At 40.6% G+C, this 24,220-nt stretch overlaps 1 annotated feature.

The window, feature by feature from the left end:
• Nucleotides 1-24,220: part of a centromere (Linear centromere model derived predominantly from reads generated in PMID: 17803354. This region does not represent an actual centromere sequence, as long-range ordering of repeats and unmapped WGS contigs is not provided by the model. For details of model production, see http://arxiv.org/abs/1307.0035.) that runs on past both edges of the window.

A 24,220-nucleotide genomic window follows, 5' to 3' on the forward strand; every position in this document is an offset into this window, starting at 1 on the left:
ACGGGATCATCTTCACATAAAAACTAAACAGAAGCAATCTCGGAAACTATTTTGTGATGTTTGTATTCAACTCCCAGAGTTGAACTTTCCTTTTGAAAGAGCAGCTATGAAACACTCTTTTTCGAGAATCTGCAAGTGGACGTTTGGAGGGCTTTGAGGCCTGTGGTGGAAAAGGAAATATCTTCACACAAAAACCAGATAGAAGCATTCTCAGAAACTACTTTGTGAGGATGGCATTCAACTCATGGAGTTGAACAATCCTATTGATAGAGCAGATTGGAATCACTCTTTTGTAGAATCTGCAAATGGAGATTTGGACTGCTTTGAGGCCTACGGTCGTATAGGAAGGAACTTCATATAAAAGGCAAACGGAAGCATTCTCAGAATATTCTTTGTGATGATGGAGTTTCACTCACAGAGCTGAACATGCCTTTTGATGGAGCAGTTTCCAAATACACTTTTGGTAGAATCTGCAGGTGGATATTTGGAGCTCTCTGAGGATTTCGTTGGAAACGGGAATAATTTCCCATAACTAAACACAAACACTCTGAGAAAGTTCTTCATGATGAATGCATTTAACTCGCAGAGATGAACCTGCCTTTGAGAGTTCAGGTTCGAAACACTCTTTCTGTAGAATCTGCAAGTGGATATTTGGACCACTGGGTGGCCTTCGTTCGAAACGGGTATATGTTCACGTAAAAACTAAAGAGAAGCATTCTCAGAAACTTCTGAGTGATGATTGCATTCAAGTCACACGGTTGAACCCTCCTTTTGATGGAGCAGTTTTGAAACTGTCTTTTTGTAGAATCTGTAAGTGGATACGTGGACCTCTTTGAAGATTTCTTTGGAAACGGGAATATTTCCACAGAAAAACTAAACTGAAGCATTCTCAGAAACCGCTTTGTGATGTTTGTGTTCGAGCCGCAGAGTTTAACATTGCTTTTCATAGAGCAGTTTTGAAATATTCTTTTGGCAGAATCTGCAAGTGGACATTTGGAGCGCTTTCAGGCCTGTGGTGGCAAAGGCCTGAAAGCCTTTTCCTTTATCTTCACAGAAAGACGAGAGAGAAGCATTGTCAGAAACTTCTTTGTGATGATTGCATTCAACTCACAGAGTTGAAGATTCCTTTTGAAACAGCAGTTTCGAAACACTCTTTCTGTGGGATCCGCAAGGGGATATTTGGACCTCTTTGAAGGTTTCGTTGGAAACGGGATAATCTTCACCTAAAAGCTAAACGGAAGCATTCTCAGAAACTTCTTTGGGATGTTTGCATTCACCTCACAGAGTTGAACTTTCCCTTTGATAGCGCAGCTTTGACACACTTTTTCTACAATGTGCAAGTGGCTATTTAGCGGGCTTGGAGGACTGTGTTGGAAAAGGAAATATCTTCTCCTAAAAACGACATAGAAGCATTCTCAGAAACTGCTCTGTGATGATTGCATTCAACTCCCAGAGTTGAACATTCCTTTTGATAGAGCAGTTTGCAAACACTCTTTTTGTAGAATCTGCAAGTGGAGATTTGGACCGCTTTGAGGCCTGTGGTAGTGAAGGAAAGAACTTCATATAAAAACCAGACGGTAGCACTCTCAGAAAATTCTTTGTGACGATGGAGTTTAACTCAGGGAGCTGAACATTCGTTATGATGGAGCAGTTTCCAAACACACGTTTTGTAGAATCTGCAAGGGGATATTTGGACCTCTCTGAGGATTTCGTTGGAAACGGGATCAACTTCCCATAACTGAACGGAAGCAAACTCAGAACATTCTTTGTGATGTTTGTATTCAACTCACAGAGTTGAACCTTCCTTTGATAGTTCAGGTTTGCAACACCCTTGTAGTAGAATCTGCAAGTGTATATTTTGACCACTTTGTAGCCTTCGTTTGAAACGTCTATATCTTCACATCAAACCTAGACAGAAGCATTCTCAGAAAGTTTTCTGCGATGACTGCATTCAACTCACAGAGTTGAACAATCCTTCTGATGGAGCAGTTTTGAAACCCTCTTTCTTTGGAATCTGCAAGGGGATATGTGGACCTCTTTGAAGATTTCACTGGAAACGGGATCATCTTCACATAAAAACTAAACAGAAGCATTCTCGGAAACTACTTTGTGATGTTTGTATTCAACTCCCAGAGTTGAACTTTCCTTTTGAAAGAGCAGCTATGAAACACTCTTTTTCGAGAATCTGCAAGTGGACGTTTGGAGGGCTTTGAGGCCTGTGGTGGAAAAGGAAATATCTTCACATAAAACTAGATAGAAAACATTCTCAGAAACGACTTTGTGAGGATGGCATTCAACTCATGGAGTTGAACAATCCTATTGATAGAGCAGATTGGAATCACTCTTTTTGTAGAATCTGCAAATGGAGATTTGGACTGCTTTGAGGCCTACGGTAGTATAGGAAGGAACTTCATATAAAAGGCAAACGGAAGCATTCTCAGAATATTCTTTGTGATGATGGAGTTTCACTCACAGAGCTGAACATGCCTTTTGATGGAGCAGTTTCCAAATACACTTTTGGTAGAATCTGCAGGTGGATATTTGGAGCTCTCTGAGGATTTCGTTGGAAACGGGAATAATTTCCCATAACTAAACACAAACACTCTGAGAAAGTTCTTCATGATGAATGCATTTAACTCGCAGAGATGAACCTGCCTTTGAGAGTTCAGGTTCGAAACACTCTTTCTGTAGAATCTGCAAGTGGATATTTGGACCACTGGCTGGCCTTCGTTCGAAACGGGTATATGTTCACGTAAAAACTAAAGAGAAGCATTCTCAGAAACTTCTGAGTGATGATTGCATTCAAGTCACACAGTTGAACCCTCCTTTTGATGGAGCAGTTTTGAAACTGTCTTTTTGTAGAATCTGTAAGTGGATACGTGGACCTCTTTGAAGATTTCTTTGGAAACGGGAATATTTCCACAGAAAAACTAAACTGAAGCATTCTCAGAAACCGCTTTGTGATGTTTGTGTTCGAGCCACAGAGTTTAACATTGCTTTTCACAAAGCAGTTTTGAAATATTCTTTTGGCAGAATCTGCAAGTGGACATTTGGAGCGCTTTCAGGCCTGTGGTGGCAAAGGCCTGAACGCCTTTTCCTTTATGTTCACAGAAAGACGAGAGAGAAGCATTGTCAGAAACTTCTTTGTGATGATTGCATTCAACTCACAGAGTTGAAGATTCCTTTTGAAACAGCAGTTTCGAAACACTCTTTCTGTGGGATCCGCAAGGGGATATTTGGACCTCTTTGAAGGTTTCGTTGGAAACGGGATAATCCTCACCTAAAAGCTAAACGGAAGCATTCTCAGAAACTTCTTTGGGATGTTTGCATTCACCTCACAGAGTTGAACTTTCCCTTTGATAGCGCAGCTTTGACACACTTTTTCTACAATGTGCAAGTGGCTATTTAGCGGGCTTGGAGGACTGTGTTGGAAAAGGAAATATCTTCTCCTAAAAACGACATAGAAGCATTCTCAGAAACTGCTCTGTGATGATTGCATTCAACTCCCAGAGTTGAACATTCCTTTTGATAGAGCAGTTTGCAAACACTCTTTTTGTAGAATCTGCAAGTGGAGATTTGGACCGCTTTGAGGCCTGTGGTAGTGAAGGAAAGAACTTCATATAAAAACCAGACGGTAGCACTCTCAGAAAATTCTTTGTGACGATGGAGTTTAACTCAGGGAGCTGAACATTCGTTACGATGGAGCAGATTCCAAACACACGTTTTGTAGAATCTGCAAGGGGATATTTGGACCTCTCTGAGGATTTCGTTGGAAACGGGATCAACTTCCCATAACTGAACGGAAGCAAACTCAGAACATTCTTTGTGATGTTTGTATTCAATTCACAGAGTTGAACCTTCCTTTGATAGTTCAGGTTTGCAACACCCTTGTAGTAGAATCTGCAAGTGTATATTTTGACCACTTTGTAGCCTTCGTTTGAAACGTCTATATCTTCACATCAAACCTAGACAGAAGCATTCTCAGAAAGTTTTCTGCGATGACTGCATTCAACTCACAGAGTTGAACAATCCTTCTGATGGAGCAGTTTTGAAACCCTCTTTCTTTGGAATCTGCAAGGGGATATGTGGACCTCTTTGAAGATTTCACTGGAAACGGGATCATCTTCACATAAAAACTAAACAGAAGCATTCTCGGAAACTACTTTGTGATGTTTGTATTCAACTCCCAGAGTTGAACTTTCCTTTTGAAAGAGCAGCTATGAAACACTCTTTTTCGAGAATCTGCAAGTGGACGTTTGGAGGGCTTTGAGGCCTGTGGTGGAAAAGGAAATATCTTCACATAAAACTAGATAGAAGCATTCTCAGAAACTACTTTGTGAGGATGGCATTCAACTCATGGAGTTGAACAATCCTATTGATAGAGCAGATTGGAATCACTCTTTTTGTAGAATCTGCAAATGGAGATTTGGACTGCTTTGAGGCCTACGGTCGTATAGGAAAGAACTTCATATAAAAGGCAAACGGAAGCATTCTCAGAATATTCTTTGTGATGATGGAGTTTCACTCACAGAGCTGAACATGCCTTTTGATGGAGCAGTTTCCAAATACACTTTTGGTAGAATCTGCAGGTGGATATTTGGAGCTCTCTGAGGATTTCATTGGAAATGGGAATAATTTCCCATAACTAAACACAAACACTCTGAGAAAGTTCTTCATGATGAATGCATTTAACTCGCAGAGATGAACCTGCCTTTGAGAGTTCAGGTTCGAAACACTCTTTCTGTAGAATCTGCAAGTGGATATTTGGACCACTGGCTGGTCTTCGTTCGAAACGGGTATATGTTCACGTAAAAACTAAAGAGAAGCATTCTCAGAAACTTCTGAGTGATGATTGCATTCAAGTCACACAGTTGAACCCTCCTTTTGATGGAGCAGTTTTGAAACTGTCTTTTTGTAGAATCTGTAAGTGGATACGTGGACCTCTTTGAAGATTTCTTTGGAAACGGGAATATTTCCACAGAAAAACTAAACTGAAGCATTCTCAGAAACTGCTTTGTGATGTTTGTGTTCGAGCCACAGAGTTTAACATTGCTTTTCATAGAGCAGTTTTGAAATATTCTTTTGGCAGAATCTGCAAGTGGACTTTTGGAGCGCTTTCAGGCCTGTGGTGGAAAAGGCCTGAAAGCCTTTTCCTTTATCTTCACAGAAAGACGAGAGAGAAGCATTGTCAGAAACTTCTTTGTGATGATTGCATTCAACTCACAGAGTTGAAGATTCCTTTTGAAACAGCAGTTTCGAAACACTCTTTCTGTGGGATCCGCAAGGGGATATTTGGACCTCTTTGAAGGTTTCGTTGGAAACGGGATAATCTTCACCTAAAAGCTAAACGGAAGCATTCTCAGAAACTTCTTTGGGATGTTTGCATTCACCTCACAGAGTTGAACTTTCCCTTTGATAGCGCAGCTTTGACACACTTTTTCTACAATGTGCAAGTGGCTATTTAGCGGGCTTGGAGGACTGTGTTGGAAAAGGAAATATCTTCTCCTAAAAACGACATAGAAGCATTCTCAGAAACTGCTCTGTGATGATTGCATTCAACTCCCAGAGTTGAACATTCCTTTTGATAGAGCAGTTTGCAAACACTCTTTTTGTAGAATCTGCAAGTGGAGATTTGGACCGCTTTGAGGCCTGTGGTAGTGAAGGAAAGAACTTCATATAAAAACCAGACGGTAGCACTCTCAGAAAATTCTTTGTGACGATGGAGTTTAACTCAGGGAGCTGAACATTCGTTATGATGGAGCAGTTTCCAAACACACGTTTTGTAGAATCTGCGAGGGGATATTTGGACCTCTCTGAGGATTTCGTTGGAAACGGGATCAACTTCCCATAACTGAACGGAAGCAAACTCAGAACATTCTTTGTGATGTTTGTATTCAATTCACAGAGTTGAACCTTCCTTTGATAGTTCAGGTTTGCAACACCCTTGTAGTAGAATCTGCAAGTGTATATTTTGACCACTTTGTAGCCTTCGTTTGAAACGTCTATATCTTCACATCAAACCTAGACAGAAGCATTCTCAGAAAGTTTTCTGCGATGACTGCATTCAACTCACAGAGTTGAACAATCCTTCTGATGGAGCAGTTTTGAAACCCTCTTTCTTTGGAATCTGCAAGGGGATATGTGGACCTCTTTGAAGATTTCACTGGAAACGGGATCATCTTCACATAAAAACTAAACAGAAGCATTCTCGGAAACTATTTTGTGATGTTTGTATTCAACTCCCAGAGTTGAACTTTCCTTTTGAAAGAGCAGCTATGAAACACTCTTTTTCGAGAATCTGCAAGTGGACGTTTGGAGGGCTTTGAGGCCTGTGGTGGAAAAGGAAATATCTTCACACAAAAACCAGATAGAAGCATTCTCAGAAACTACTTTGTGAGGATGGCATTCAACTCATGGAGTTGAACAATCCTATTGATAGAGCAGATTGGAATCACTCTTTTTGTAGAATCTGCAAATGGAGATTTGGACTGCTTTGAGGCCTACGGTAGTACAGGAAGGAACTTCATATAAAAGGCAAACGGAAGCATTCTCAGAATATTCTTTGTGATGATGGAGTTTCACTCACAGAGCTGAACATGCCTTTTGATGGAGCAGTTTCCAAATACACTTTTGGTAGAATCTGCAGGTGGATATTTGGAGCTCTCTGAGGATTTCGTTGGAAACGGGAATAATTTCCCATAACTAAACACAAACACTCTGAGAAAGTTCTTCATGATGAATGCATTTAACTCGCAGAGATGAACCTGCCTTTGAGAGTTCAGGTTCGAAACACTCTTTCTGTAGAATCTGCAAGTGGATATTTGGACCACTGGGTGGCCTTCGTTCGAAACGGGTATATGTTCACGTAAAAACTAAAGAGAAGCATTCTCAGAAACTTCTGAGTGATGATTGCATTCAAGTCACACAGTTGAACCCTCCTTTTGATGGAGCAGTTTTGAAACTGTCTTTTTGTAGAATCTGTAAGTGGATACGTGGACCTCTTTGAAGATTTCTTTGGAAACGGGAATATTTCCACAGAAAAACTAAACTGAAGCATTCTCAGAAACTGCTTTGTGATGTTTGTGTTCGAGCCACAGAGTTTAACATTGCTTTTCATAGAGCAGTTTTGAAATATTCTTTTGGCAGAATCTGCAAGTGGACATTTGGAGCGCTTTCAGGCCTGTGGTGGAAAAGGCCTGAAAGCCTTTTCCTTTATCTTCACAGAAAGACGAGAGAGAAGCATTGTCAGAAACTTCTTTGTGATGATTGCATTCAACTCACAGAGTTGAAGATTCCTTTTGAAACAGCAGTTTCGAAACACTCTTTCTGTGGGATCCGCAAGGGGATATTTGGACCTCTTTGAAGGTTTCGTTGGAAACGGGATAATCTTCACCTAAAAGCTCAACGGAAGCATTCTCAGAAACTTCTTTGGGATGTTTGCATTCACCTCACAGAGTTGAACTTTCCCTTTGATAGCGCAGCTTTGACACACTTTTTCTACAATGTGCAAGTGGCTATTTAGCGGGCTTGGAGGACTGTGTTGGAAAAGGAAATATCTTCTCCTAAAAACGACATAGAAGCATTCTCAGAAACTGCTCTGTGATGATTGCATTCAACTCCCAGAGTTGAACATTCCTTTTGATAGAGCAGTTTGCAAACACTCTTTTTGTAGAATCTGCAAGTGGAGATTTGGACCGCTTTGAGGCCTGTGGTAGTGAAGGAAAGAACTTCATATAAAAACCAGACGGTAGCACTCTCAGAAAATTCTTTGTGACGATGGAGTTTAACTCAGGGAGCTGAACATTCGTTATGATGGAGCAGTTTCCAAACACACGTTTTGTAGAATCTGCGAGGGGATATTTGGACCTCTCTGAGGATTTCGTTGGAAACGGGATCAACTTCCCATAACTGAACGGAAGCAAACTCAGAACATTCTTTGTGACGTTTGTATTCAACTCACAGAGTTGAACCTTCCTTTGATAGTTCAGGTTTGCAACACCCTTGTAGTAGAATCTGCAAGTGTATATTTTGACCACTTTGTAGCCTTCGTTTGAAACGTCTATATCTTCACATCAAACCTAGACAGAAGCATTCTCAGAAAGTTTTCTGCGATGACTGCATTCAACTCACAGAGTTGAAAAATCCTTCTGATGGAGCAGTTTTGAAACCCTCTTTCTTTGGAATCTGCAAGGGGATATGTGGACCTCTTTGAAGATTTCACTGGAAACGGGATCATCTTCACATAAAAACTAAACAGAAGCATTCTCGGAAACTATTTTGTGATGTTTGTATTCAACTCCCAGAGTTGAACTTTCCTTTTGAAAGAGCAGCTATGAAACACTCTTTTTCGAGAATCTGCAAGTGGACGTTTGGAGGGCTTTGAGGCCTGTGGTGGAAAAGGAAATATCTTCACACAAAAACCAGATAGAAGCATTCTCAGAAACTACTTTGTGAGGATGGCATTCAACTCATGGAGTTGAACAATCCTATTGATAGAGCAGATTGGAATCACTCTTTTTGTAGAATCTGCAAGTGGAGATTTGGACCGCTTTGAGGTCTGTGGTAGTGAAGGAAAGAACTTCATATAAAAACCAGACGGTAGCACTCTCAGAAAATTCTTTGTGACGATGGAGTTTAACTCAGGGAGCTGAACATTCGTTATGATGGAGCAGTTTCCAAACACACGTTTTGTAGAATCTGCAAGGGGATATTTGGACCTCTCTGAGGATTTCGTTGGAAACGGGATCAACTTCCCATAACTGAACGGAAGCAAACTCAGAACATTCTTTGTGATGTTTGTATTCAACTCACAGAGTTGAACCTTCCTTTGATAGTTCAGGTTTGCAACACCCTTGTAGTAGAATCTGCAAGTGTATATTTTGACCACTTTGTAGCCTTCGTTTGAAACGTCTATATCTTCACATCAAACCTAGACAGAAGCATTCTCAGAAAGTTTTCTGCGATGACTGCATTCAACTCACAGAGTTGAACAATCCTTCTGATGGAGCAGTTTTGAAACCCTCTTTCGTTGGAATCTGAAAGGGGATATGCGGACCTCTTTGAAGATTTCACTGGAAACGGGATCATCTTCACATAAAAACTAAACAGAAGCATTCTCGGAAACTACTTTGTGATGTTTGTATTCAACTCCCAGAGTTGAACTTTCCTTTTGAAAGAGCAGCTATGAAACACTCTTTTTCGAGAATCTGCAAGTGGACGTTTGGAGGGCTTTGAGGCCTGTGGTGGAAAAGGAAATATCTTCACATAAAAACTAGATAGAAGCATTCTCAGAAACTACTTCGTGAGGATGGCATTCAACTCATGGAGTTGAACAATCCTATTGATAGAGCAGATTGGAATCACTCTTTTTGTAGAATCTGCAAATGGAGATTTGGACTGCTTTGAGGCCTACGGTAGTATAGGAAGGAACTTCATATAAAAGGCAAACGGAAGCATTCTCAGAATATTCTTTGTGATGATGGAGTTTCACTCACAGAGCTGAACATGCCTTTTGATGGAGCAGTTTCCAAATACACTTTTGGTAGAATCTGCAGGTGGATATTTGGAGCTCTCTGAGGATTTCGTTGGAAACGGGAATAATTTCCCATAACTAAACACAAACACTCTGAGAAAGTTCTTCATGATGAATGCATTTAACTCGCAGAGATGAACCTGCCTTTGAGAGTTCAGGTTCGAAACACTCTTTCTGTAGAATCTGCAAGTGGATATTTGGACCACTGGCTGGCCTTCGTTCGAAACGGGTATATGTTCACGTAAAAACTAAAGAGAAGCATTCTCAGAAACTTCTGAGTGATGATTGCATTCAAGTCACACAGTTGAACCCTCCTTTTGATGGAGCAGTTTTGAAACTGTCTTTTTGTAGAATCTGTAAGTGGATACGTGGACCTCTTTGAAGATTTCTTTGGAAACGGGAATATTTCCACAGAAAAACTAAACTGAAGCATTCTCAGAAACCGCTTTGTGATGTTTGTGTTCGAGCCACAGAGTTTAACATTGCTTTTCATAGAGCAGTTTTGAAATATTCTTTTGGCAGAATCTGCAAGTGGACATTTGGAGCGCTTTCAGGCCTGTGGTGGCAAAGGCCTGAAAGCCTTTTCCTTTATCTTCACAGAAAGACGAGAGAGAAGCATTGTCAGAAACTTCTTTGTGATGATTGCATTCAACTCACAGAGTTGAAGATTCCTTTTGAAACAGCAGTTTCGAAACACTCTTTCTGTGGGATCCGCAAGGGGATATTTGGACCTCTTTGAAGGTTTCGTTGGAAACGGGATAATCTTCACCTAAAAGCTAAACGGAAGCATTCTCAGAAACTTCTTTGGGATGTTTGCATTCACCTCACAGAGTTGAACTTTCCCTTTGATAGCGCAGCTTCGACACACTTTTTCTACAATGTGCAAGTGGCTATTTAGCGGGCTTGGAGGACTGTGTTGGAAAAGGAAATATCTTCTCCTAAAAACGACATAGAAGCATTCTCAGAAACTGCTCTGTGATGATTGCATTCAACTCCCAGAGTTGAACATTCCTTTTGATAGAGCAGTTTGCAAACACTCTTTTTGTAGAATCTGCAAGTGGAGATTTGGACCGCTTTGAGGCCTGTGGTAGTGAAGGAAAGAACTTCATATAAAAACCAGACGGTAGCACTCTCAGAAAATTCTTTGTGACGATGGAGTTTAACTCAGGGAGCTGAACATTCGTTATGATGGAGCAGTTTCCAAACACACGTTTTGTAGAATCTGTGAGGGGATATTTGGACCTCTCTGAGGATTTCGTTGGAAACGGGATCAACTTCCCATAACTGAACGGAAGCAAACTCAGAACATTCTTTGTGATGTTTGTATTCAACTCACAGAGTTGAACCTTCCTTTGATAGTTCAGGTTTGCAACACCCTTGTAGTAGAATCTGCAAGTGTATATTTTGACCACTTTGTAGCCTTCGTTTGAAACATGCTATATCTTCACATCAAACCTAGACAGAAGCATTCTCAGAAAGTTTTCTGCGATGACTGCATTCAACTCACAGAGTTGAACAATCCTTTTGATGGAGCAGTTTTGAAACCCTCTTTCTTTGGAATCTGCAAGGGGATATGTGGACCTCTTTGAAGATTTCACTGGAAACGGGATCATCTTCACATAAGAACTAAACAGAAGCATTCTCGGAAACTACTTTGTGATGTTTGTATTCAACTCCCAGAGTTGAACTTTCCTTTTGAAAGAGCAGCTATGAAACACACTTTTTCGAGAATCTGCAAGTGGACGTTTGGAGGGCTTTGAGGCCTGTGGTGGAAAAGGAAATATCTTCACATAAAAACTAGATAGAAGCATTCTCAGAAACGACTTTGTGAGGATGGCGTTCAACTCATGGAGTTGAACAATCCTGTTGATAGAGCAGATTGGAATCACTCTTTTTGTAGAATCTGCAAATGGAGATTTGGACTGCTTTGAGGCCTACGGTAGTATAGGAAGGAACTTCATATAAAAGGCAAACGGAAGCATTCTCAGAATATTCTTTGTGATGATGGAGTTTCACTCACAGAGCTGAACATGCCTTTTGATGGAGCAGTTTCCAAATACACTTTTGGTAGAATCTGCAGGTGGATATTTGGAGCTCTCTGAGGATTTCGTTGGAAACGGGAATAATTTCCCATAACTAAACACAAACACGCTGAGAAAGTTCTTCATGATGAATGCATTGAACTCGCAGAGATGAACCTGCCTTTGAGAGTTCAGGTTCGAAACACTCTTTCTGTAGAATCTGCAAGTGGATATTTGGACCACTGGCTGGCCTTCGTTCGAAACGGGTATATGTTCACGTAAAAACTAAAGAGAAGCATTCTCAGAAACTTCTGAGTGATGATTGCATTCAAGTCACACAGTTGAACCCTCCTTTTGATTGAGCAGTTTTGAAACTGTCTTTTTGTAGAATCTGTAAGTGGATGCGTGGACCTCTTTGAAGATTTCTTTGGAAACGGGAATATTTCCACAGAAAAACTAAACTGAAGCATTCTCAGAAACGGCTTTGTGATGTTTGTGTTCGAGCCACAGAGTTTAACATTGCTTTTCATAGAGCAGTTTTGAAATATTCTTTTGGCAGAATCTGCAAGTGGACATTTGGAGCACGTTCAGGCCTGTGGTGGAAAAGGCCTGAAAGCCTTTTCCTTTACCTTCACAGAAAGACGAGAGAGAAGCATTGTCAGAAACTTCTTTGTGATGATTGCATTCAACTCACAGAGTTGAAGATTCCTTTTGAAACAGCAGTTTCGAAACACTCTTTCTGTGGGATCCGCAGGGGGATATTTGGACCTCTTTGAAGATTTCGTTGGAAACGGGATAATCTTCACCTAAAAGCTAAACGGAAGTATTCTCAGAAACTTCTTTGGGATGTTTGCATTCACCTCACAGAGTTGAACTTTCCCTTTGATAGCGCAGCTTCGACACACTTTTTCTACAATGTGCAAGTGGATATTTAGCGGGCTTGGAGGACTGTGTTGGAAAAGGAAATATCTTCTCCTAAAAACGACATAGAAGCATTCTCAGAAACTGCTCTGTGATGATTGCTTTCAACTCCCAGAGTTGAACATTCCTTTTGATAGAGCAGTTTGCAAACACTCTTTTTGTAGAATCTGCAAGTGGAGATTTGGACCGCTTTGAGGCCTGTGGTAGTAAAGGAAAGAACTTCATATAAAAACTAGACGGTAGCACTCTCAGAAAATTCTTTGTGACGATGGAGTTTAACTCAGAGAGCTGAACATTCGTTATGATGGAGCAGTTTCCAAACACACGTTTTGTAGAATCTGCAAGGGGATATTTGGACCTCTCTGAGGATTTCGTTGGAAACGGTATCAATTTCCCATAACTGAACGGAAGCAAACTCAGAACATTTTTTGTGATGGTTGCATTCATCTCACAGAGTTGAACCTTCCTTTGATAGTTGAGGTTTGCATCACCCTTGTAGTAGAATCTGCAAGTGTATATTTTGACCACTTTGTAGCCTTCGTTTGAAACGTCTATATCTTCACATCAAACCTAGACAGAAGCATTCTCAGAAAGTTTTCTGCGATGACTGCATTCAACTCACAGAGTTGAACAATCCTTTTGATGGAGCAGTTTTGAAACCCTCTTTCTTTGGAATCTGCAAGGGGATATGTGGACCTCTTTGAAGATTTCACTGGAAACGGGATCATCTTCACATAAGAACTAAACAGAAGCATTCTCGGAAACTACTTTGTGATGTTTGTATTCAACTCCCAGAGTTGAACTTTCCTTTTGAAAGAGCAGCTATGAAACACTCTTTTTCGAGAATCTGCAAGTGGACGTTTGGAGGGCTTTGAGGCCTGTGGTGGAAAAGGAAATATCTTCACATAAAAACTAGATAGAAGCATTCTCAGAAACGACTTTGTGAGGATGGCATTCAACTCATGGAGTTGAACAGTCCTATTGATAGAGCAGATTGGAATCACTCTTTTTGTAGAATCTGCAAATGGAGATTTGGACTGCTTTGAGGCCTACGGTAGTATAGGAAGGAACTTCATATAAAAGGCAAACGGAGCATTCTCAGAATATTCTTTGTGATGATGGAGTTTCACACACAGAGCTGAACATGCCTTTTGATGGAGCAGTTTCCAAATACACTTTTGGTAGAATCTGCAGGTGGATATTTGAACCTCTCTGAGGATTTCGTTGGAAACGGGAATAATTTCCCATAACTAAACACAAACAGCATTCTCAGAAACTTCTGAGTGATGATTGCATTCAAGTCACACAGTTGAACCCTCGTTTTGATTGAGCAGTTTTGAAACTGTGTTTTTGTAGAATCTGTAAGTGGATGCGTGGACCTCTTTGAAGATTTCTTTGGAAACGGGAATATTTCCACAGAAAAACTAAACTGAAGCATTCTCAGAAACTGCTTTGTGATGTTTGTGTTCGAGCCGCAGAGTTTAACATTGCTTTTCATAGAGCAGTTTTGAAATATTCTTTTGGCAGAATCTGCAAGTGGACATTTGGAGCGCTTTCAGGCCTGTGGTGGAAAAGGCCTGAAAGCCTTTTCCTTTATCTTCACAGAAAGACGAGAGAGAAGCATTGTCAGAAACTTCTTTGTGATGATTGCATTCAACTCACAGAGTTGAAGATTCCTTTTGAAACAGCAGTTTCGAAACACTCTTTCTGTGGGAACCGCAAGGGGATATTTGGATCTATTTGAAGGTTTCGTTGGAAACTGGATAATCTTCACCTAAAAGCTAAACGGAAGCATTCTCAGAAACTTCTTTGGGATGTTTGCATTCACCTCACAGAGTTGAACTTTCCCTTTGATAGCGCAGCTTTGACACACTTTTTCTACAATGTGCAAGTGGCTATTTAGCGGGCTTGGAGGACTGTGTTGGAAAAGGAAATATCTTCTCCTAAAAACGACAAAGAAGCATTCTCAGAAACTGCTCTGTGATGATTGCATTCAACTCCCAGAGTTGAACATTCCTTTTGATAGAGCAGTTTGCAAACACTCTTTTTGTAGAATCTGCAAGTGGAGATTTGGACCGCTTTGAGGCCTGTGGTAGTGAAGGAAAGAACTTCATATAAAAACCAGACGGTAGCACTCTCAGAAAATTCTTTGTGACGATGGAGTTTAACTCAGGGAGCTGAACATTCGTTATGATGGAGCAGTTTCCAAACACACGTTTTGTAGAATCTGCGAGGGGATATTTGGACCTCTCTGAGGATTTCTTTGGAAACGGGATCAACTTCCCATAACTGAACGGAAGCAAACTCAGAACATTCTTTGTGATGTTTGTATTCAACTCACAGAGTTCAACCTTCCTTTGATAGTTCAGGTTTGCAACACCCTTGTAGTAGAATCTGCAAGTGTATATTTTGACCACTTTGTAGCCTTCGTTTGAAACGTCTATATCTTCACATCAAACCTAGACAGAAGCATTCTCAGAAAGTTTTCTGCGATGACTGCATTCAACTCACAGAGTTGAACAATCCTTCTGATGGAGCAGTTTTGAAACCCTCTTTCTTTGGAATCTGCAAGGGGATATGTGGACCTCTTTGAAGATTTCACTGGAAACGGGATCATCTTCACATAAAAACTAAACAGAAGCATTCTCGGAAACTACTTTGTGATGTTTGTATTCAACTCAAAGAGTTGAACTTTCCTTTTGAAAGAGCAGCTATGAAACACTCTTTTTCGAGAATCTGCAAGTGGACGTTTGGAGGGCTTTGAGGCCTGTGGTGGAAAAGGAAACATCTTCACACAAAAACCAGATAGAAGCATTCTCAGAAACTACTTTGTGAGGATGGCATTCAACTCATGGAGTTGAACAATCCTATTGATAGAGCAGATTGGAATCACTCTTTTTATAGAATCTGCAAATGGAGATTTGGACTGCTTTGAGGCCTACGGTAGTACAGGAAGGAACTTCATATAAAAGGCAAACGGGAAGCATTCTCAGAATATTCTTTGTGATGATGGAGTTTCACTCACAGAGCTGAACATGCCTTTTGATGGAGCAGTTTCCAAATACACTTTTGGTAGAATCTGCAGGTGGATATTTGGAGCTCCCTGAGGATTTCGTTGGAAACGGGAATAATTTCCCATAACTAAACACAAACACTCTGAGAAAGTTCTTCATGATGAATGCATTTAACTCGCAGAGATGAACCTGCCTTTGAGAGTTCAGGTTCGAAACACTCTTTCTGTAGAATCTGCAAGTGGATATTTGGACCACTGGGTGGCCTTCGTTCGAAACGCGTATATGTTCACGTAAAAACTAAAGAGAAGCATTCTCAGAAACTTCTGAGTGATGATTGCATTCAAGTCACACAGTTGAACCCTCCTTTTGATGGAGCAGTTTTGAAACTGTCTTTTTGTAGAATCTGTAAGTGGATACGTGGACCTCTTTGAAGATTTCTTTGGAAACGGGAATATTTCCACAGAAAAACTAAACTGAAGCATTCTCAGAAACTGCTTTGTGATGTTTGTGTTCGAGCCACAGAGTTTAACATTGCTTTTCATAGAGCAGTTTTGAAATATTCTTTTGGCAGAATCTGCAAGTGGACATTTGGAGCGCTTTCAGGCCTGTGGTTGGGAAAAGGCCTGAAAGCCTTTTCCTTTATCTTCACAGAAAGACGAGAGAGAAGCATTGTCAGAAACTTCTTTGTGATGATTGCATTCAACTCACAGAGTTGAAGATTCCTTTTGAAACAGCAGTTTCGAAACACTCTTTCTGTGGGATCCGCAAGGGGATATTTGGACCTCTTTGAAGGTTTCGTTGGAAACGGGATAATCTTCACCTAAAAGCTAAACGGAAGCATTCTCAGAAACTTCTTTGGGATGTTTGCATTCACCTCACAGAGTTGAACTTTCCCTTTGATAGCGCAGCTTTGACACACTTTTTCTACAATGTGCAAGTGGCTATTTAGCGGGCTTGGAGGACTGTGTTGGAAAAGGAAATATCTTCTCCTAAAAACGACATAGAAGCATTCTCAGAAACTGCTCTGTGATGATTGCATTCAACTCCCAGAGTTGAACATTCCTTTTGATAGAGCAGTTTGCAAACACTCTTTTTGTAGAATCTGCAAGTGGAGATTTGGACCGCTTTGAGGCCTGTGGTAGTGAAGGAAAGAACTTCATATAAAAACCAGACGGTAGCACTCTCAGAAAATTCTTTGTGACGATGGAGTTTAACTCAGGGAGCTGAACATTCGTTATGATGGAGCAGTTTCCAAACACACGTTTTGTAGAATCTGCGAGGGGATATTTGGACCTCTCTGAGGATTTCGTTGGAAACGGGATCAACTTCCCATAACTGAACGGAAGCAAACTCAGAACATTCTTTGTGATGTTTGTATTCAACTCACAGAGTTGAACCTTCCTTTGATAGTTCAGGTTTGCAACACCCTTGTAGTAGAATCTGCAAGTGTATATTTTGACCACTTTGTAGCCTTCGTTTGAAACGTCTATATCTTCACATCAAACCTAGACAGAAGCATTCTCAGAAAGTTTTCTGCGATGACTGCATTCAACTCACAGAGTTGAACAATCCTTCTGATGGAGCAGTTTTGAAACCCTCTTTCTTTGGAATCTGCAAGGGGATATGTGGACCTCTTTGAAGATTTCACTGGAAACGGGATCATCTTCACATAAAAACTAAACAGAAGCATTCTCGGAAACTACTTTGTGATGTTTGTATTCAACTCCCAGAGTTGAACTTTCCTTTTGAAAGAGCAGCTATGAAACACTCTTTTTCGAGAATCTGCAAGTGGACGTTTGGAGGGCTTTGAGGCCTGTGGTGGAAAAGGAAATATCTTCACATAAAAACTAGATAGAAGCATTCTCAGAAACGACTTTGTGAGGATGGCATTCAACTCATGGAGTTGAACAATCCTATTGATAGAGCAGATTGGAATCACTCTTTTTGTAGAATCTGCAAATGGAGATTTGGACTGCTTTGAGGCCTACGGTCGTATAGGAAGGAACTTCATATAAAAGGCAAACGGAAGCATTCTCAGAATATTCTTTGTGATGATGGAGTTTCACTCACAGAGCTGAACATGCCTTTTGATGGAGCAGTTTCCAAATACACTTTTGGTAGAATCTGCAGGTGGATATTTGGACCTCTCTGAGGATTTCGTTGGAAACGGGAATAATTTCCCATAACTAAATACAAACACTCTGAGAAAGTTCTTCATGATGAATGCATTTAACTCGCAGAGATGAACCTGCCTTTGAGAGTTCATGTTCGAAACACTCTTTCTGTAGAATCTGCAAGTGGATATTTCGACCACTGGCTGGCCTTCGTTCGAAACGGGTATATGTTCACGTAAAAACTAAAGAGAAGCATTCTCAGAAACTGGTGAGTGATGATTGCATTCAAGTCACACAGTTGAACCCTCCTTTTGATGGAGCAGTTTTGAAACTGTCTTTTTGTAGAATCTGTAAGTGGATACGTGGACCTCTTTGAAGATTTCTTTGGAAACGGGAATATTTCCACAGAAAAACTAAACTGAAGCATTCTCAGAAACCGCTTTGTGATGTTTGTGTTCGAGCCACAGAGTTTAACATTGCTTTTCATAGAGCAGTTTTGAAATATTCTTTTCGCAGAATCTGCAAGTGGACATTTGGAGCGCTTTCAGGCCTGTGGTGGAAAAGGCCTGAAAGCCTTTTCCTTTATCTTCACAGAAAGACGAGAGAGAAGCATTGTCAGAAACTTCTTTGTGATGATTGCATTCAACTCACAGAGTTGAAGATTCCTTTTGAAACAGCAGTTTCGAAACACTCTTTCTGTGGGATCCGCAAGGGGATATTTGGACCTCTTTGAAGGTTTCGTTGGAAACGGGATAATCTTCACCTAAAAGCTAAACGGAAGCATTCTCAGAAACTTCTTTGGGATGTTTGCATTCACCTCACAGAGTTGAACTTTCCCTTTGATAGCGCAGCTTTGACACACTTTTTCTACAATGTGCAAGTGGCTATTTAGCGGGCTTGGAGGACTGTGTTGGAAAAGGAAATATCTTCTCCTAAAAACGACATAGAAGCATTCTCAGAAACTGCTCTGTGATGATTGCATTCAACTCCCAGTGTTGAACATTCCTTTTGATAGAGCAGTTTGCAAACACTCTTTTTGTAGAATCTGCAAGTGGAGATTTGGACCGCTTTGAGGCCTGTGGTAGTGAAGGAAAGAACTTCATATAAAAACCAGACGGTAGCACTCTCAGAAAATTCTTTGTGACGATGGAGTTTAACTCAGGGAGCTGAACATTCGTTATGATGGAGCAGTTTCCAAACACACGTTTTGTAGAATCTGCGAGGGGATATTTGGACCTCTCTGAGGATTTCGTTGGAAACGGGATCAACTTCCCATAACTGAACGGAAGCAAACTCAGAACATTCTTTGTGATGTTTGTATTCAACTCACAGAGTTGAACCTTCCTTTGATAGTTCAGGTTTGCAACACCCTTGTAGTAGAATCTGCAAGTGTATATTTTGACCACTTTGTAGCCTTCATTTGAAACGTCTATATCTTCACATCAAACCTAGACAGAAGCATTCTCAGAAAGTTTTCTGCGATGACTGCATTCAACTCACAGAGTTGAACAATCCTTCTGATGGAGCAGTTTTGAAACCCTCTTTCTTTGGAATCTGCAAGGGGATATGTGGACCTCTTTGAAGATTTCACTGGAAACGGGATCATCTTCACATAAAAACTAAACAGAAGCATTCTCAGAAACTACTTTGTGATGTTTGTATTCAACTCCCAGAGTTGAACTTTCCTTTTGAAAGAGCAGCTATGAAACACTCTTTTTCGAGAATCTGAAAGTGGACGTTTGGAGGGCTTTGAGGCCTGTGGTGGAAAAGGAAATATCTTCACATAAAAACTAGATAGAAGCATTCTCAGAAACGACATTGTGAGGATGGCATTCAACTCATGGAGTTGAACAATCCTATTGATAGAGCAGATTGGAATCACTCTTTTTGTAGAATCTGCAAATGGAGATTTGGACTGCTTTGAGGCCTACGGTAGTATAGGAAGGAACTTCATATAAAAGGCAAACGGAAGCATTCTCAGAATATTCTTTGTGATGATGGAGTTTCACTCACAGAGCTGAACATGCCTTTTGATGGAGCAGTTTCCAAATACACTTTTGGTAGAATCTGCAGGTGGATATTTGGAGCTCTCTGAGGATTTCGTTGGAAACGGGAATAATTTCCCATAACTAAACACAAACACTCTGAGAAAGTTCTTCATGATGAATGCATTTAACTCGCAGAGATGAACCTGCCTTTGAGAGTTCAGGTTCGAAACACTCTTTCTGTAGAATCTGCAAGTGGATATTTGGACCACTGGGTGGCCTTCGTTCGAAACGGGTATATGTTCACGTAAAAACTAAAGAGAAGCATTCTCAGAAACTTCTGAGTGATGATTGCATTCAAGTCACACAGTTGAACCCTCCTTTTGATGGAGCAGTTTTGAAACTGTCTTTTTGTAGAATCTGTAAGTGGATACGTGGACCTCTTTGAAGATTTCTTTGGAAACGGGAGTATTTCCACAGAAAATCTAAACTGAAGCATTCTCAGAAACTGCTTTGTGATGTTTGTGTTCGAGCCACAGAGTTTAACATTGCTTTTCATAGAGCAGTTTTGAAATATTCTTTTGGCAGAATCTGCAAGTGGACATTTGGAGCGCTTTCAGGCCTGTGGTGGAAAAGGCCTGAAAGCCTTTTCCTTTATCTTCACAGAAAGACGAGAGAGAAGCATTGTCAGAAACTTCTTTGTGATGATTGCATTCAACTCACAGAGTTGAAGATTCCTTTTGAAACAGCAGTTTCGAAACACTCTTTCTGTGGGATCCACAAGGGGATATTTGGACCTCTTTGAAGGTTTCGTTGGAAACGGGATAATCTTCACCTAAAAGCTAAACGGAAGCATTCTCAGAAACTTCTTTGGGATGTTTGCATTCACCTCACAGAGTTGAACTTTCCCTTTGATAGCGCAGCTTTGACACACTTTTTCTACAATGTGCAAGTGGCTATTTAGCGGGCTTGGAGGACTGTGTTGGAAAAGGAAATATCTTCTCCTAAAAACGACATAGAAGCATTCTCAGAAACTGCTCTGTGATGATTGCATTCAACTCCCAGAGTTGAACATTCCTTTTGATAGAGCAGTTTGCAAACACTCTTTTTGTAGAATCTGCAAGTGGAGATTTGGACCGCTTTGAGGCCTGTGGTAGTGAAGGAAAGAACTTCATATAAAAACCAGACGGTAGCACTCTCAGAAAATTCTTTGTGACGATGGAGTTTAACTCAGGGAGCTGAACATTCGTTATGATGGAGCAGTTTCCAAACACACGTTTTGTAGAATCTGCGAGGGGATATTTGGACCTCTCTGAGGATTTCGTTGGAAACGGGATCAACTTCCCATAACTGAACGGAAGCAAACTCAGAACATTCTTTGTGATGTTTGTATTCAACTCACAGAGTTGAACCTTCCTTTGATAGTTCAGGTTTGCAACACCCTTGTAGTAGAATCTGCAAGTGTATATTTTGACCACTTTGTAGCCTTCGTTTGAAACGTCTATATCTTCACATCAAACCTAGACAGAAGCATTCTCAGAAAGTTTTCTGCGATGACTGCATTCAACTCACAGAGTTGAACAATCCTTCTGATGGAGCAGTTTTGAAACCCTCTTTCTTTGGAATCTGCAAGGGGATATGTGGACCTCTTTGAAGATTTCACTGGAAACGGGATCGATCATCTTCACATAAAAACTAAACAGAAGCATTCTCGGAAACTACTTTGTGATGTTTGTATTCAACTCCCAGAGTTGAACTTTCCTTTTGAAAGAGCAGCTATGAAACACTCTTTTTCGAGAATCTGCAAGTGGACGTTTGGAAGGCTTTGAGGCCTGTGGTGGAAAAGGAAATATCTTCACATAAAAACTAGATAGAAGCATTCTCAGAAACGACTTTGTGAGGATGGCATTCAACTCATGGAGTTGAACAATCCTATTGATAGAGCAGATTGGAATCACTCTTTTTGTAGAATCTGCAAATGGAGATTTGGACTGCTTTGAGGCCTACGGTCGTATAGGAAGGAACTTCATATAAAAGGCAAACGGAAGCATTCTCAGAATATTCTTTGTGACGATGGAGTTTCACGCACAGAGCTGAACATGCCTTTTGATGGAGCAGTTTCCAAATACACTTTTGGTAGAATCTGCAGGTGGATATTTGGAGCTCTCTGAGGATTTCGTTGGAAACGGGAATAATTTCCCATAACTAAACACAAACACTCTGAGAAAGTTCTTCATGATGAATGCATTTAACTCGCAGAGATGAACCTGCCTTTGAGAGTTCAGGTTCGAAACACTCTTTCTGTAGAATCTGCAAGTGGATATTTGGACCACTGGGTGGCCTTCGTTCGAAACGGGTATATGTTCACGTAAAAACTAAAGAGAAGCATTCTCAGAAACTTCTGAGTGATGATTGCATTCAAGTCACACAGTTGAACCCTCCTTTTGATGGAGCAGTTTTGAAACTGTCTTTTTGTAGAATCTGTAAGTGGATACGTGGACCTCTTTGAAGATTTCTTTGGAAACGGGAATATTTCCACAGAAAAACTAAACTGAAGCATTCTCAGAAACTGCTTTGTGATGTTTGTGTTCGAGCCACAGAGTTTAACATTGCTTTTCATAGAGCAGTTTTGAAATATTCTTTTCGCAGAATCTGCAAGTGGACATTTGGAGCGCTTTCAGGCCTGTGGTGGAAAAGGCCTGAAAGCCTTTTCTTTATCTTCACAGAAAGACGAGAGAGAAGCATTGTCAGAAACTTCTTTGTGATGATTGCATTCAACTCACAGAGTTGAAGATTCCTTTTGAAACAGCAGTTTCGAAACACTCTTTCTGTGGGATCCGCAAGGGGATATTTGCACCTCTTTGAAGGTTTCGTTGGAAACGGGATAATCTTCACCTAAAAGCTAAACGGAAGCATTCTCAGAAACTTCTTTGGGATGTTTGCATTCACCTCACAGAGTTGAACTTTCCCTTTGATAGCGCAGCTTTGACACACTTTTTCTACAATGTGCAAGTGGCTATTTAGCGGGCTTGGAGGACTGTGTTGGAAAAGGAAATATCTTCTCCTAAAAACGACATAGAAGCATTCTCAGAAACTGCTCTGTGATGATTGCATTCAACTCCCAGAGTTGAACATTCCTTTTGATAGAGCAGTTTGCAAACACTCTTTTTGTAGAATCTGCAAGTGGAGATTTGGACCGCTTTGAGGCCTGTGGTAGTGAAGGAAAGAACTTCATATAAAAACCAGACGGTAGCACTCTCAGAAAATTCTTTGTGACGATGGAGTTTAACTCAGGGAGCTGAACATTCGTTATGATGGAGCAGTTTCCAAACACACGTTTTGTAGAATCTGCGAGGGGATATTTGGACCTCTCTGAGGATTTCGTTGGAAACGGGATCAACTTCCCATAACTGAACGGAAGCAAACTCAGAACATTCTTTGTGATGTTTGTATTCAACTCACAGAGTTGAACCTTCCTTTGATAGTTCAGGTTTGCAACACCCTTGTAGTAGAATCTGCAAGTGTATATTTTGACCACTTTGTAGCCTTCATTTGAAACGTCTATATCTTCACATCAAACCTAGACAGAAGCATTCTCAGAAAGTTTTCTGCGATGACTGCATTCAACTCACAGAGTTGAACAATCCTTCTGATGGAGCAGTTTTGAAACCCTCTTTCTTTGGAATCTGCAAGGGGATATGTGGACCTCTTTGAAGATTTCACTGGAAACGGGATCATCTTCACATAAAAACTAAACAGAAGCATTCTCGGAAACTATTTTGTGATGTTTGTATTCAACTCCCAGAGTTGAACTTTCCTTTTGAAAGAGCAGCTATGAAACACTCTTTTTCGAGAATCTGCAAGTGGACGTTTGGAGGGCTTTGAGGCCTGTGGTGGAAAAGGAAATATCTTCACACAAAAACCAGATAGAAGCATTCTCAGAAACTACTTTGTGAGGATGGCATTCAACTCATGGAGTTGAACAATCCTATTGATAGAGCAGATTGGAATCACTCTTTTTGTAGAATCTGCAAATGGAGATTTGGACTGCTTTGAGGCCTACGGTAGTACAGGAAGGAACTTCATATAAAAGGCAAACGGAAGCATTCTCAGAATATTCTTTGTGATGATGGAGTTTCACTCACAGAGCTGAACATGCCTTTTGATGGAGCAGTTTCCAAATACACTTTTGGTAGAATCTGCAGGTGGATATTTGGAGCTCTCTGAGGATTTCGTTGGAAACGGGAATAATTTCCCATAACTAAACACAAACACTCTGAGAAAGTTCTTCATGATGAATGCATTTAACTCGCAGAGATGAACCTGCCTTTGAGAGTTCAGGTTCGAAACACTCTTTCTGTAGAATCTGCAAGTGGATATTTGGACCACTGGGTGGCCTTCGTTCAAAACGGGTATATGTTCACGTAAAAACTAAAGAGAAGCATTCTCAGAAACTTCTGAGTGATGATTGCATTCAAGTCACACAGTTGAACCTTCCTTTTGATGGAGCAGTTTTGAAACTGTCTTTTTGTAGAATCTGTAAGTGGATACGTGGACCTCTTTGAAGATTTCTTTGGAAACGGGAATATTTCCACAGAAAAACTAAACTGAAGCATTCTCAGAAACTGCTTTG

The sequence above is a fragment of the Homo sapiens genome, chromosome X, assembly GCF_000001405.40.
Source record: "Homo sapiens chromosome X, GRCh38.p14 Primary Assembly".
Taxonomy (NCBI): domain Eukaryota; kingdom Metazoa; phylum Chordata; class Mammalia; order Primates; family Hominidae; genus Homo; species Homo sapiens.